At 51.7% G+C, this 14067-nt stretch overlaps 1 protein-coding gene and 1 long non-coding RNA gene across 5 annotated transcripts in view, besides 2 other annotated features; both read right to left on the bottom strand.

Moving 5' to 3' along the window:
• Nucleotides 1-5932, bottom strand: part of RBFOX1 (RNA binding fox-1 homolog 1) — a 2473620-nt gene extending 2467688 nt beyond the window's left edge. For 2 of the 4 annotated variants that reach the window (NM_001415887.1, NM_001415888.1), the window contains exon 1: nucleotides 5548-5932. In NM_001415887.1, coding sequence (NP_001402816.1) covers nucleotides 5548-5886 — 339 coding nt within the window. In that variant the 5' untranslated portion in view covers nucleotides 5887-5932. The remainder of the gene's footprint in view (nucleotides 1-5547) is intronic. The other 2 variants (XM_017023318.3, XM_024450303.2) reach the window with 2 other exon arrangements.
• Nucleotides 5824-6043: a silencer, noted in NCBI's record as "silent region_7175". NCBI's record gives its function as "represses an Ori minimal core promoter by ATAC-STARR-seq in GM12878 lymphoblastoid cells {active_cell/tissue: GM12878}" and the evidence as "EXISTENCE:reporter gene assay evidence [ECO:0000049][PMID:35858748]".
• Nucleotides 7619-8818: an enhancer, noted in NCBI's record as "BRD4-independent group 4 enhancer chr16:5286836-5288035 (GRCh37/hg19 assembly coordinates)". NCBI's record gives its function as "activates an origin of replication core promoter dependent on BRD2, P300/CBP, MED14 and CDK7 cofactors, and independent of BRD4, by STARR-seq in HCT116 cells {active_cell/tissue: HCT116}" and the evidence as "EXISTENCE:reporter gene assay evidence [ECO:0000049][PMID:35650434]".
• Nucleotides 8836-14067, bottom strand: part of LOC105371067 (uncharacterized) — a 31887-nt gene continuing 26655 nt past the window's right edge. The window contains exons 2-3 of the long non-coding RNA XR_001752067.2: nucleotides 12076-12258; nucleotides 8836-10379 (exon numbers count right to left, since the gene is read on the bottom strand). This is a non-coding gene — a long non-coding RNA (uncharacterized LOC105371067). The remainder of the gene's footprint in view (nucleotides 10380-12075; nucleotides 12259-14067) is intronic.

The raw sequence follows: 14067 nt of genomic DNA, 5'->3' as shown, positions 1-14067 counted from the left end.
TGAGACTAGCCTGGCCAAACCTCATCTCTACTAAAAATACAAAAGTCAGGCATGGTGGTGCGCATCTGCATTTCCAGCTACTTGGGAGGCTGAGGCAGGAGAATCCCTTGAACCTGGGAGGTGGGTTCCCCAGGCTTAGAGCAAAACCCCCATCTTGTCTGTCTCCACTCTCATCCCAGGCAATCGCAGTCATTTCCACAGCCTCAACCACTGGCTACCTGGGATGCCTCCCAAGCCCGAGTCTCCAGCCCAAACCTGCCTTCCTAGCCCCAGACCCATCTGTCCTGGCACACATTGCCCCCTGGGTCCCAAGCAACCTCAGCCAATGAGTCCAAAGTCAACTTCCTGTCCTTGCCTGACACTGTCAGCCCTGAGATCAGACTTGACCATTCACCTCCAGTACCTGATAGGTCCGTAAGTCCTTTGGAACATATCCCATGAACATTCCCCAAACCAGGCACCGGACTCCACACATCAACACCATCATGTGACTCGCCTGCATCCCTGGCAGGGACCCCTGTCCCAGCCTCCAACTCATCCTGTACCTTGAGTTCTGTGTCACATTCCAGAGGCCACAAGAAGAAAAATGACCACCTTAATGAAATTAAAAGAATTGAGAAGACATTTCCCTATGGTCCAAAGCCTTTCCAACTGAGAAACACATATCAAGATCCAGCCTGCCAGCCCTGCGGTTAAATGTTCCTGAAAGAATTAAAGCCCAGGGCAACACAGCCCCCACTCCACAAGTACTCCCAGCACAGTAAGACTTGCTTCCCTGCAGGGGCTTGAAATGTCCAGTGTGTACCCTGCCCCTCTCTGTCATAGCTAACAGGAATGTGCTCCGTGTCTTCTTCCTTCTCAAAGGACCGTCCACCAACCTGCGCAGGCAGCACTTTCGGCCAAAGGGGGATGCGAGAACTTCCCAAAATTTCCCACTTACGCACTGCATTCCTCAGGAGCCTGCCTCACAAATTACAAGAGCGCCACAGCAGACACACCGCGTTCCAGCGGGTTGCCATGTCTTCATGTCAGCTTCAAAGATTGTTGCCAGGGAAATATCTATATCTCAGCAGAGAGAGCTTCAGCCTCTGTAGTCCAGCTGTGCTCAAATGGAAATCCAAAAACCCAGAGGTTGGTCCAAACACCCTATCTCAGGGAGTCGGCTCTGCAAGTCCCCAGTATGGGAGTGAACTGGGTAGGCCACCTACCCTGCCTGCCCACATCCCTGCCTCCTGGAATCCTGGACCCTGAGAACCAGGCGGATGTGGTGGGGAACAGGCAAGTCTTGTGCAGAAAGCCAAGATGCCACCCAAATCCACTCTGCAGTCTAGGTGGGTGATATTCTGCTCTGCACCGCACCAGTGCATGAGGGGATGGAGGATGGAGTCTAGACAAGCCAAATGTAAAGATATTGCCCAAGTATTTTGTGCTTTGTCTGTGTTACAATGCTATGCCCAGCCCAGCATGGTGGCTCACACCTGTGATCTCAGCACCTTGGGAGGCCGAGGCAGGCAGATCACCTCAGGTCAGGAGTTTGAGACCAGCCTGGCCAACGTGGTGAAACCTCATATCTACCAAAAATACAAAAATTAGCCGGCTGTGGTGGTGGGGACCTGTAATCCCAGCTACTCCGGAGGCTGAGGCAGGAGAATCACTTGAGCCCAGGAGGTGGAGGTTGCAGTGAGCGGAGATCATGCCACTGCACTCCAGCCTGGGCAACAGAGTAAGACTCCATCTTAAAAAAAAATAAAAATAAATAAATGCTATGCCCAGCATTTTCCATGTACTGTCTTATTATCTCAGTAAATCCCATATAACCTTCCTATGAAAGTGTATCTCATTTATCTCCATTTTATAGATGAGAAAACTGAGTCCCCTGCAGTAGTATTAATTTTCCAAGACCGCATGGCTCATAAAGGGTACAGCAGGGACCCAAGCTCAACACTGTCACCCTCAAACATTTCCACAAGTGTAGACCAATGGCTCTCAACTGGGGTGGTTTTGCTCATGTACCACTCCCTTGCTCCATGGCATTTGAAACCGTCTGGAGACATCTGGGGTAGCCATAGCTGGGAGGGGGGAATGGCACCTAGAGGATGGAGACCACAGATGCCGCTAACCATCCTACAATACACGGGACGGCCCCCACCAGCACCACGAATGGTCTCACCCCAAGTGTTGTGACGGTGCCAAAGCTGAGAAACCCAGGTTTCTCCTCAGCAAGAAGGAAAATACCTGCAACGCGGATGCTCCTCTACAGGAGCCCCAGGCTGACAACAACCTTCCTGATCTGGTTTCAACCCTGGATGCTTTTATCTGGTGCGTCCATCAGGGATTTCAGTGACTCCAGTGAGTTATTACCCTTGAATGCTCGGTTCCACCTGACAACACAGAAATCTCTGCCGAGGTGCCTGGTCTTGGGGAAGGCTCAACAAATGGTTAAGGTTGATAACCAAATACCTAGGAGAGACTTCTCTCTCCCTCCAGGAACAGCTGTGGGTCAGACACACCCTGGGATCATTCACAAGCGGTCAATAAAGGCTTGGGGAGGGCTAGGTTTTCTAGGCCTTCTCAATGGGGTGGGTGTTTGTGGATACACAAGAAGCCAGTGAAACTTCTGATATTGGCAGGAAATCAATGCCCCCCACCCTCCACCCTCCACCCCCCACCACGTCCCCACCATAATCACATGCCCTGCAGCAGGACTTGGCACTCAGGGGCTCCTGGGGGCCCGATTTATCTGCTAAAACATCCTCTAGCCACCACCAAATAAAGCAACCCCTTGCCACCCAACCACAAGAGCACAGCCTGGGAGCCACTCCAAGGGACACCCAGTCACATTAAAACCTCAGCCATCCAGAGCACCAGGCCTGGTGATGAGAAAGAACATTTTATCCTTAAAAGCATCTGAATGCCCATGCTGCTTCTTGCAGAGAAAAGTCCAAAATAATCTGCTATTAAAGAACGAGGATGGTTTTGACATTTTTACCAAGCTAATGGTCTACGCAGACAAAATCTCATAAAAGGGCACTCTGTTCTTCTTGATCCACTCAGACATGGCCTGTGAGTGAAGAAACGGGTTCTCCTCCTCAAAGAAATCGCTGCTGATTCTCACACCAGCCTGACACTGCTTCATGGGTTCTTCAAAGAGAGTATTCCCATAGAAACTAAAAAGGAAGAGGAATGTGTCTGGCGGGCACTGTGGGCAGCAGTGGGCTTTGGGCCAAATTTTAAGTTTGAAAATCAAGATTCCCTCTTTTCGAGGGGCCGCCGGACTGAGCAGATACAGACACCATGAAAAGAGGGTGGCATATTCAGATTCAGGAAACAAGGATGGTTTGTGTTCAGTTCCTGCATCATCCTTCAGGTCATGAAATTCACATTTCCCTCTGTGGACCAAGAAATTCAGTGGGGTTTCTGCCTTTTAAATATTTCATTATCAATATATCATCCTTTTAGCCTCCAGAAAGCATTTTAATGGAGATTCTGGCTTAAGACACTTGTGGGTCTGTCTGTCTCTCTCTCTCTCTCTTTTCCTTGAAACAGGGTCTCACTTTGTCACCTAGACTGGAGTGCAGTGGCATGATGACAGCTCACTGCAGCTGGACCTTCCAGGCTCTAGCAATCCTCCCACCTCAGCCTCCCAAGTACTTGGGACTGCAGGCACACACCACCATACCTGGCTTTTATTTTATTATTATTATTTTTTTTTTTGGTAGATGCGAGGCTTCACCACGTTGCCCAGGCTGGTCTTAAACTCCTGGACTCAAGCGATCCTCCCCCTTCGGCCTCTCAAAGTGCTGGAATTATTGGCTTGAGCCACCACGCCCGGCCAAGAACCTTGTCTCTTGTGATGCACCCCAGAACAAAACATCACTGCAAAACACACCAAGGCGTAAGTTTCAGTCCTAAGTCCCATTTATCCACCATACACTATGTGCCAGGCACAACGCTAAGTGCTTCTATGGACGAGCTTCCCTTAATCTCAGCAGTAACAACCCCAGGCAATGGGGCCTGTTGACAGATCCATTTGCCACTGAAGACAGTAAGGCTCAGACAGGGTAACTGGCGTGTGCCATGTCAGCCAGCTAAGGAGGGGCATTACCAGGATGCAAACCCCAGCTGCCTGGCTCCACACTCACGTTCCCTAGGTCCCACTACACTTGGTCACTCCACTGCATTCTAGTATCCTGGTCTTTGGCAGAGTCCACGTAAAAGAGGGAGGTAGAGGGAGTGAGAGGGACTTCACGCAATAAAGTTTCCTGGCGTTACACTGCCACCGTAATTGTGTCTCATCCTTTCCGTGATCGGCCCTGGAAAACCTACCAGAGAACTGTCCTCCTTCTCCCAGAATCTCAGAGAAAATTCACCTGAGTTCGGTGTCCAGGTGACCCAAGCTCTGAATGCAGTAACGTGCACGGGGAGATGAGGATGTCACCAGGAGCAAGCCTCCCACACAGCATCCGGGAGCAACCCCAAGACTGGGCAGGGGGGGCTCTGAGGCAGCCCACGGCGAGGACGGCTACCCGTGCTGCCCAAATGGGTTCAGAATGAAGGCCGCCCTCTCTCCCATGTGGGGCTCATTAACCACGAATCAAATTATTAAGACAAGCTCAGCTGAGCAAATGGTCAAACATAAAAACATTTGGAAGGAACAAAGAGGTCAACCCCATTATCCATCAAAAACCATCAAGGTGGCGGCCCTCACTGAGGGGTACAGCTCTCCAGGGGGCCCTCATCTGCCCTCCAAACCCGCGTGCCTCCCCAGTGGAAGGCCAGCAAAGCCACACAGGAAGAGTTGGGGTAGGAAAGCAGAAAGTGAACCCCAGGAGGCCAGGCTGGCCACGGAGCCCCATCCCACGCACACGGGCCCGGTCACTCAGGGGCCCACGTGTGCAGGACACCGGGAGCTCACAGGGACAGCGCCCCGAGGGATGCAAGGAACTTTGCCTCTCTGTCCCTCTCTGTAGGGATGGAAAGAGGAGAGCGATTTCTGGGATGGAAGCCATCTGCCTCCTCTCAACTCTCGCTGCCCAACCAGAAAGGGAAGAAAAACAGGAAGATGCGGGGCAGGTGAGGAGCTGGGTGAGCGCCGCCAGCCCGCAGCCCAGCAGAGCAGGGCTTGGCCAAGCCTGGCGCCAGGGACTTCCCCTCTACCCCCACCATAAGCCCCCCGCCAGGTGGGACCGACAAAAGTCCCAGACAGATGCCCCAGACAGGATGCCCAGCGCAACCCCCGCCCCTTCCCCTGCTGGGGGCCCCCAGGACGCGGGGCTCCCCCTCCCCTTTTGGCTAGCCGCAGAGTCCAACGGGGCTCCTGGCCAGGGACGTCGTGGGAGAATCAGGAAGTCGAAGCCACACAGCCGAGAAGGGGCAGCTGGCGTCTCGGAGGCCGTCACGAGCTGTCACTCCGCGCCCGCCGGAGTTGCCACTCAGTTACCAACTTCAACCCGGGGCCGGCCACGGAGCCTCCCGCAGCCCCTACCCCGCGTCTCCGGCACCCCCGCGCCCCCGGCACCCCCGGACCCCCGCGCCCGCGTCACTTACTCCTCTGCCGTCGCCACCTGTCTGGGTGCCGGTCTCCTCCCTGCCCGGCCGCGGCGCGTCCTTCCCGTCCTCGCAGTCCTCGGGCTGTGCGCTTCCCCCCTCCAGCCCCAGCCGCAGCCTCTTCTCTTCGGGAGGGACGTCGTCCTCCTCCCTCCTGGGCCGGCCATCCCTGCCTCGGGGCTTGCCAGTGGCTTCGGAGCTGCCGGAAGGGCTGGCCATGGCTCCGGGGGCTCTGCCTGCACTTGGGGAAGAGGAAGGACCCGGCGCGAGCGGCCTCTCGGCGGAGCTGGGGCGTCTGAGCGCGGGCTCGGTGGGTCCGCGCGGCGCGGAGCTGGGCATCGGGGCCGGCGCGGGCTCCTCCGCGGGCCGCTCCTGGCTCTCTGGCGCCCTCTGCCGGCCGCTCGCCCGCACCGCGGACACGCCGGGCCCGGGCCTGCGCTGCGCTCACCTGCCCCGGCCCAGGCGGTCGCTCTCCCCTACCCGTGGCCAGACCCGCTCCGGCCAGGCCGTGCACCTCCTCCCCGCCCCAGCCAGGTTGCACCCCGATGGTCTCCCTGCCCAAGGAGGAGAGAAGAGAAGGGACGCCCCGAGAGGGTGGACATGGGCCACAGCCACCTTGTCTTTGCTCTTACCCTGTGTCTTGCATGATTTGGAGGTAGTGGGAAAACCGAGTGGAGAATTCCGCCTGCAGGATGACATGAATGCACCTTCCCATTGCCTACCAACAGATCTTTTTTGAGCATCACTGTGGACCAGGCGTGGTGATGGGGGAGGGGATATTGTGGTGAACATGACAGGCATTGCCTTCACCCAGTGGGGCTCAGCGCTGGGTGAGAAGGCATTGAGAATGGACATTGTCAATTGGGCAAAAGGAGGCCAAGGAGAAGTGCTGGGTGCATGGGAACTGAAAAAGACAGGAGGCTCGGCAGGTCTTGGAGCTGCGAGAGGGACAACAGCAGCGGCTGTTCCAAAGGAAGCAACAGCTGAGAGAGGTCTCAGAGTTGTTCTCAGCCCAGTGGAGGGTGTTCAGGCAGAGGGAACAGCGTGTGCAAAAGCCCAGAGGCTGGGAAAGAAGCAGAAAGAGGACTGTGGGGCTGGAGCATGCTGGGCAAGGGGAGAGAGGTGTGGTGGGCAGACAGATTGCCTGGAACCCAGCTGTGCAGGGACAGAGGAGATAGGGGATCCTTGCAGGCCCCCAGCCAGGACTCAGGCACAGAGACAATGCAGGTGGGCAAAGGGAGGAGACGTAGAGAAATATTTTGGAGGCGTGCCCGATGAATGAGCCCAGGATGCACCGTTAGTGTCAGTGTGGAGCGAGCTCCTTCCTTGGCTGTGTGATGAGCTGAACCCGGGGGTATTTTCTGGACATCGAGGTGCTACACCCAGAGTCCAGGACAGGCTAAGTGAGCACCCGCAGCTCCTGGCCTACCTCAAAAGCAGGAGAGACAGGGGAGACTGGGGAGGCCGGGGAGGAAGGGGAAGCCAGGAAGGCAGGAGAGCCCAGGGAAGCAGAGGAGGCCAGGGAGACAGTGGAGGCAGGAGAGGCTGGGGAGGCTGTGTCCTTTCCATGATTCTGCCCAGGATCCTAGGCCCCTGTACTCCCTGAGCTTCCCCATCCCAAGCGCTGGAACCATGTTGCACAATGGTCTCCCCACTAAGCTCCTGATGGCAGCCCCTACCCTGCTGTGCTCCCTATTTCAACCCTAACAGCTCTCACAGTGGGCAGCACATAGTAGGTGCTCAGGAAACACTGGTGGGAGAGCACATGGGTCTGCTCAGCACCTTCCCCTCTCCTCCAGCTCTCCCCTGTCATGAAATAATTCTGATAATGACACATGGGCTTTGAGACCCTCTTCTATTACTTTCCATATGCTAATCCATCTATACCTCACAGCAGCCCTGGCGGTGGGTGTTATTAGGATGCCCATTTTACAGAGGAGGAGACTGAGGTATAAAGAGGGTAAGTGACATAGGCACACTACAGGGGCCGGGGCCAAGTGACCGCAGCACTCAATCCCCAAAGGCAAGGTGGATGCAGTTACCATAAAGGACAGCAGAGTCAAAGCTGCAAGCAGAATAGCATGACTCGCAGAGACCTATGGTGCCAGCTGATCGTGGCTTTCCTAGAAGTGAAATAGATAAGAAGCCTGCCACATTTTTACTTGATCTGTGTTTGCAGAAGAGTTCTAGGTCAGGTGAGCAGAAGTCTAACCTGAATCATAAAAACAGAGTCACAGTCCCCAGTCAATTCCCAGACATAAGCCAGTTCACAGACCAGGAGTCCCTTGTCTGAATGTGAAGCCAGGTCCCCTCCAGAAAGGACTCTGCTCCACTGCCAAAAATTTATACTGTCAATCTTTCTCCCAGCCTGCCCCCACAGGAATACACAGCCTTTTACCAGGATGACTGAACAGGGGAATAGGAACTAATGGGACCTGTGCAGGATCACTGGACACAGGCTCTGAACTGGCACTAGGGCGAGACTAGGGTCTACCAGTCAGAATAGGCATTTTGGAGGTCAGGTGAATGTTGGTGCAGGTTCATGTCATGGTAGATCCATTGGGTCCCCAATTCATCCTCTGGTTATATACAAAGTGGCCATGCTGAGATTCAAATTCAGGGTATCCAACATAGAAGCTGTGCTCTTATTCATGAAACATTCTGACATCTCTGGAAAGAAAACTATAATTCAGGGTTCCAGTCCCCACCCACGCAGCCTGACCCAATTCCGGTGCCCAAGTTCAGAGTGTCAACCCCATGTTTTGCAGCATTTAAACTAGGCAGGAAAATTAGGGACAATTAAAAGGACATGGGCCACCAGCTAGTCATAGACTCTCTCTGGTGTGTATCATAAATATTTTCCTTCCTGAGGTTTAATTTGGACAGACTGTGTCCCAGTCTGCAGCATACCTTGACATGATCGGCTTATCTGCTCGTCTCCCCTTCCTCTTTTTTTTTCCAGACAGGGTCTCACTCTCTTGCCCAGGCTGGAGCACAGTGGCAAAATCATGGTTCATTGCAGCATCAACCTCTTGGGCTCCATCAATCCTCCCACCTCAACCTCTTGAGTAGCTGGGACTACAGGCATGTACCAACACGCCCAGCTAATTTTTGTATTTTTTGTAGAGGTATGGTTTCTCTATGTTGTCCAGGCTGGTCTTGAACTCCTGGGCCCAAGTGATCTGCTCATCTTGGCCTCTCAAAGTGCTGGGATTACAAGCGTGAGCCACTGTACCCAGCCTCCTCTTCCTCTTGACGGTGAATTCTGTAAGGGCAAAGGCTCATTCATTTTTGTTGTTTAATGAATAGACTTTATTCTTTAGAATAGCTTAAGCTTTACAGAAAAATGAGCAGAAAGTATAGTGTTCCCATATATGCCCTCAAATCCTCCCATCCTGTTTCCCCTGTTATTAACATGTGGCTTTAATGTAGTGCATTTGTTGCAATTGATGAGTCAATATTGATACATTACTCTTAAGTCCATAGTGTAGGTTTCTCTCCTGGTGTGCTGCACATTCTTTGGATGGATGTGACCATCCACCATTGGATCCACCATTACAGTGTCACATAGAATAGTCTCACTGCCCTAAAAATCACGTGTGCTAAGCTGGTTCGTTCTTGAATCTTCATTGCTTTTCCATGGTGCCAAGCCCTCAGCTGGGGCATGTGGCTGTTGAATGGAAGGATATTGCAAAAAGTGCTGCCAAATGTTTCCATCCTGGACAAGTAAAGGAAAGTGGCCCTGATGTTTTAAAAGGCCTGACATCAAAAGAAAGGGTGTAAGTTTACCAAGCCACTGGGATTAGCTTCCCAAGGGACCATTTCCTCAACTTGATCTGATGATCAAGGCAACAGAAGATCCAGAACAAAGGGGATCCCTTTTACTCTGACCTAGGAAAAATGTCTGTAAATTCTTTGGGAGCTCAGAAAATGTCAACATCTGGGCCAAAAGACAAAAGTGGAAATGTCAGCTGTGCGTGGTGGCTCAAGCCTATAATTCCAACACTTTGGGAGGCCGAGGCAGGTGGATCACAAGGTCAAGAGATCGAGACCATCCTGGCTAACACGGTGAAACCTGGTCTGTACTAAAAATACAAAAAATTAGCCGGTCGTGGTGGCGGGCGCCTGTAATCCCAGCTACTCAGGAGGCTGAGGCAGGAAAATAGCATGAACCTGGGAGGTGGAGCTTGCAGTGAGCTGAGATCAGGCCACTGCACTCCAGCCTGGGTGACAGAGCAAGACTCCATCTCAAAAAAAAAAAAAAAAAAAATGTTTGTTAACCTCTCAGTGACCCCTGTGGGCATCCTAGGACTTAATCCAACTGAAAGAGCGTGTAGAAGGTGCACCTCAGACATCCCGCCTAGGTCTGCAGGAGCTGGGCCATTCCTTCATGAAATCTCACCAGGCACAACTCAGAGATACTCCCTAGAGGGTCTTAATTTCCAAGTACTTTCAACAAAGTGGGCATTGGCAGCCACAGAGAGCTTCAGGCAAAAGTGGCCGGCGTGCACAGGAATAGTAAGGCCACCGAGAACATCTACTATGGAGCCAAACCCAGACACAACCACGCTGGCTCCAGCCAGATACGGAACAGGGTGGCATCAGAAGGATGGCAGGGCAGTAACAGGGAAACTCCTTGGGTAGGTCTCAAGGATGTCTGGATTCTCCCTTTCCACCGTGGGGCTAGAAGGCAGGTAGCTCAGCCGGGGCTCCGCAGGCCGAACTCAAATCAAGTCCGGGCTTCAGCCTTCGTAACTGCATCAGCTCAGGCAGGGACTGGACCTCTGGAAACCTCAGTTTCTTCATCTGTAAAATGGGCATCACGACAGTACCTGGTGGGATTGTTTTGAGAATTTAACAAAATTATGCATGTAAAGCTCTAATCCTGACACCTAATAAGGGTTCAAAAAGTGTTTGTTTTTAAATATCATTAGCCTACGTACTTTTTTTTTTTTTTTTTTTTGGAGACAGTCTCTCACTCTGTTGTCCAGGCTGGAGTGCAATGGTGCAATCTCAGCTCACTGTAACCTCTGCCTCCTGGGTTCAAGAGATTCTTCTGCCTCAGCCTCCCAAGTAGCTGGGATTATAGGTTTGCACCACCACACGCGGCTAATTTTTTGTATCTTTAGTAGAGATGGGGTTTCACCATGTTGGCCAGGCTGGTCTTGAACTCCTGACCTCATGATTTGCCCGCCTCGGCCTCCCACAGTGCTGGGATTACAGGCATGAGCCACCGCGCCCGGCCAGCCCACGTACTTCCCTCAAAAAGAAGGTGAGTCTAGCCCTGAAGTTGGATGAGGTCCTGGTGAAGAAGAGGTGGGAGCCTGAATGCTGATGACACTGTGGGCCAAGGTTGGGACATTGGAGGCAAGGGCTGGGGAACAGCCGCAGCTCACTGTGCAGCCAGATCGGCCGTCAGAAGCTTCGAGACCCACATCTTAAGCTGATCGTGAATTAGGGCGTGAGGAAAATAAACCCCAAGGCTTGGCTTCCCTGCTGAAATCCCTCTTGAAAACTTAGCCATTTAGGAGGCGAGGGGAGGAGCCCAGCAGTTAGAACCACCCTCTTCCCACAAACGCCTGCCTTAGATTCTCAGGTGAGTCCCCAAGACTCCATCTGGATGAGACAGTTGCTCTCCCAGAGCTCCCGCCTATTCACCCTACACAGGCGCCCCCATAAGGGCACCCCTGAGCTCAAGGTGTCGCTGCTTCCTCTCCAATGGGAAATCCCAGCAGGGGTAATAATTTACCCCCCACATACACACACCCCCTCCTCAGTGGTCGTTAGCGGCTGGCCATGACCCCAAAGCCAACCATACCCCCAAAATACTGAACTGACAAGTCAGGGTTTCTGCAGCCCTGCACTGCTGCTGAGAATTCCATGAGTCCTATCTTACTTTCCATCTTACTGGGGCCAGGATGCCTCACTCTTCCCAGCCCATACTCCCAGATGCCCGCCTATCTCTGCTTATAGCTTCTCAACTTCCACCTCATTTGGAACATGTATGTCTCTATGTGGCCAGCACCTGTAAATTACACAGGGATTATAGCTTCCCCAGGGTCATCAGCAAGCTTTCTCTCAGCCCAACCATGGTGCTGCTGGAAATTGATTGATTTTTTTTTTTAGAGACAGGGTCTCACTCTGTTTGTCGCCCTGTGCCCAGGCTGGACTGCAGTCGTGCAATCTCAGCTCACTGCAGCCCTGCAGTCTCTACTTCCTAAGGTTCAAGTGATCCTCCTTCCTCAGTCTCCCAAGTACCTGGGACCACAGAGGCATGCCAGGATGCCTGACTAGTTTTTTTTTATTTTTTGTAAACAGAGGGTCCCTCCCTGTGTTGCCCAGGCTAGTCTGAAACTTCTGGGCTTCAGCAATCCTCCTGCCTCAGCCTCCCAAAATGCTGGGATTACAGGCATGAGCCACCACACCTGGCCCTATTTTTATTGTTAAATTTTATTGTTAACTATCAAGATGCAAATAACGTTCCAGTGTGATTCCAGGTTTGAAAATGTCACTTTTTACCCATTTTACCTTTAATTCTGGGATGTGAATGGAATCTCATGTTTTATTCTTCTTCTCCTCCCAATGATTATTGCAATCTAGCTCTTCATCTACTTAAATGATTCATGTAGAGGGGTTTCTGAGGATCTCTCCAGCATCCTAGCACCTAATTTTTTTCCTCCTCAGCTTCGAACCAACTTAGTGAGCAGACATCTGCAGGGACAAGAAAACAAACATCAGACATCAGCATTTATCTAAACCATGGCTGCTAGCCCTTCTGAGAGGCATCTTGGGTATTTGGGCACATGTATATTTGTCTCGATTATCTGAATCTCCCCTCCTCTTGTTCTGCTGAAATGGGCATGGGCAGGCCAGGCGTGGTGGTTCACGCCTGTAATCCCAGCACTTTGGGAGGCCAAGGCGGGCACATCACATGAGGTCAGGAGTTCGAGACCAGCCTGGCCAACCTGGTGAAACCCTTTCTCTACTAAAAATACAAAAATTAGCTGGGCATGGTGGCACATGCCTGTAGTCTCAGCTACTCAGGAGGCTGAGGCAGGAGAATTGCTTGAATTCGGGAGGCAGATGTTGCAGTGAGCCAAGATCCCGCCATTACACTGCAGCCTGAGCAACTAGAGCGAAACTCTGTCTTAAAAAACAAAAAAAGAAAGAAAAAGAAGAAGAAGAAGAAGGAAATGGGCATGGGCTGTGTCTCATTGTTTCCTGCTGTGGGGTGCTGATTGTTGCAGGAGCCTTTTAATACATGCAACAGCTCTTCCAACAAAGACTAATCCCTGCCTTCTCCCTGGTGCGGCTGCACCGTAAATTGCAGAGTTTAGAGAAGAGAACGTTAAAGGCAATGCCCACACAGCCTGTGTGTGTGCAAGACAGCACTGGGGAAGGAGGAAGTCCCCTTCAACCCAACACCATCCTGTCTTCAGCCATCAGACGGCCTCAAACGGGGCCTAGGGCAGCCATAGGATGACAACAGTGAGTCCCAGAACGGCAGAGATTCTGGGCTCAGAAGCTTCTGCACAGATCCACAGCCAAGCACTCAGACTCTCCACATCTCACCATCACCAGAGTCCAATTTTGATTATTATTATTATTTATAAGAGTCAGGTTCTCACTCCGTCACCCAGGCTGGAGTGCAGTGGTGCAAATGTAGCTTACTGAAGGCTTGGACTCCTGGGCTCAAGCGATCCTCCTGCCTTGGCCTCCCAAAGTGCTAGAATTACAGACATGAGTCATTGTGCCTGGCTGAGAGTTTGACTTTTAATAACCCACTTTTGTCGGTCACATTTTCTTTCCTAGAAAATTGTATTTAATGTATTGTGTAAAGAAGCAATTAATATGGGTTTTTCTGGGCAATAAGATTAAAAACCCATTATAGTTCATTGAATTATTGAACCCTGAGAGGGAGATGTGATTCTGGACCCATGACCCCTCAAAAAGGCAAGAACCACCAAACTGTGCATTTATGCCAATATTTGATATACCTCGATCTTGAATATGACCAAAGAAAGGAGGAAGGGGAAAATGTCATATTTTGGGTGCCTACACTGTGTGGGGGCACTTTGTGTGATCTCTCTTATTTCTTTCTTGAGCTACCGAAGTGACTATTATCAGCAGCCCCGTTTTTCAGATAAGGAAACTGAGGACAGGAAGTACACATTAGTTCCTAATGCTTTCTAGTTGACAAGAGCCATGGTAATGTAGGGACAGAGGAAAAGTGTCCTCTCTGCCCACGGAAGGTTCACTGAAATGACTGATAAATAAACAATACACAGGAGAAAAAAAGGCATACAGATTTCTTGGTGTGTATATGGATGCCGGAGTCCTGCAAATATGAGGCTCAAAAAGAGACCAGGTCGTTGAGGCTTAAATACTATTTTCTTAGTGGGAAGGTAAATAAAGGGCCTGTAGGTAATTTTAGGGGTAGTATATAATTTCTAAGGGAAATAAATGAGCCCAAAGAACAATGGCCTGGGACAACATCCCTCAGAGCTCTGGTGGAGGTGG

Source organism: Homo sapiens, chromosome 16, assembly GCF_000001405.40.
Source record: "Homo sapiens chromosome 16, GRCh38.p14 Primary Assembly".
In the NCBI taxonomy this organism is placed as follows: Eukaryota; Metazoa; Chordata; class Mammalia; order Primates; family Hominidae; genus Homo; species Homo sapiens.
The sequence above is the reverse complement of the archived record's forward strand: the minus strand, read 5'-3'. Positions and strand labels throughout refer to the sequence as shown.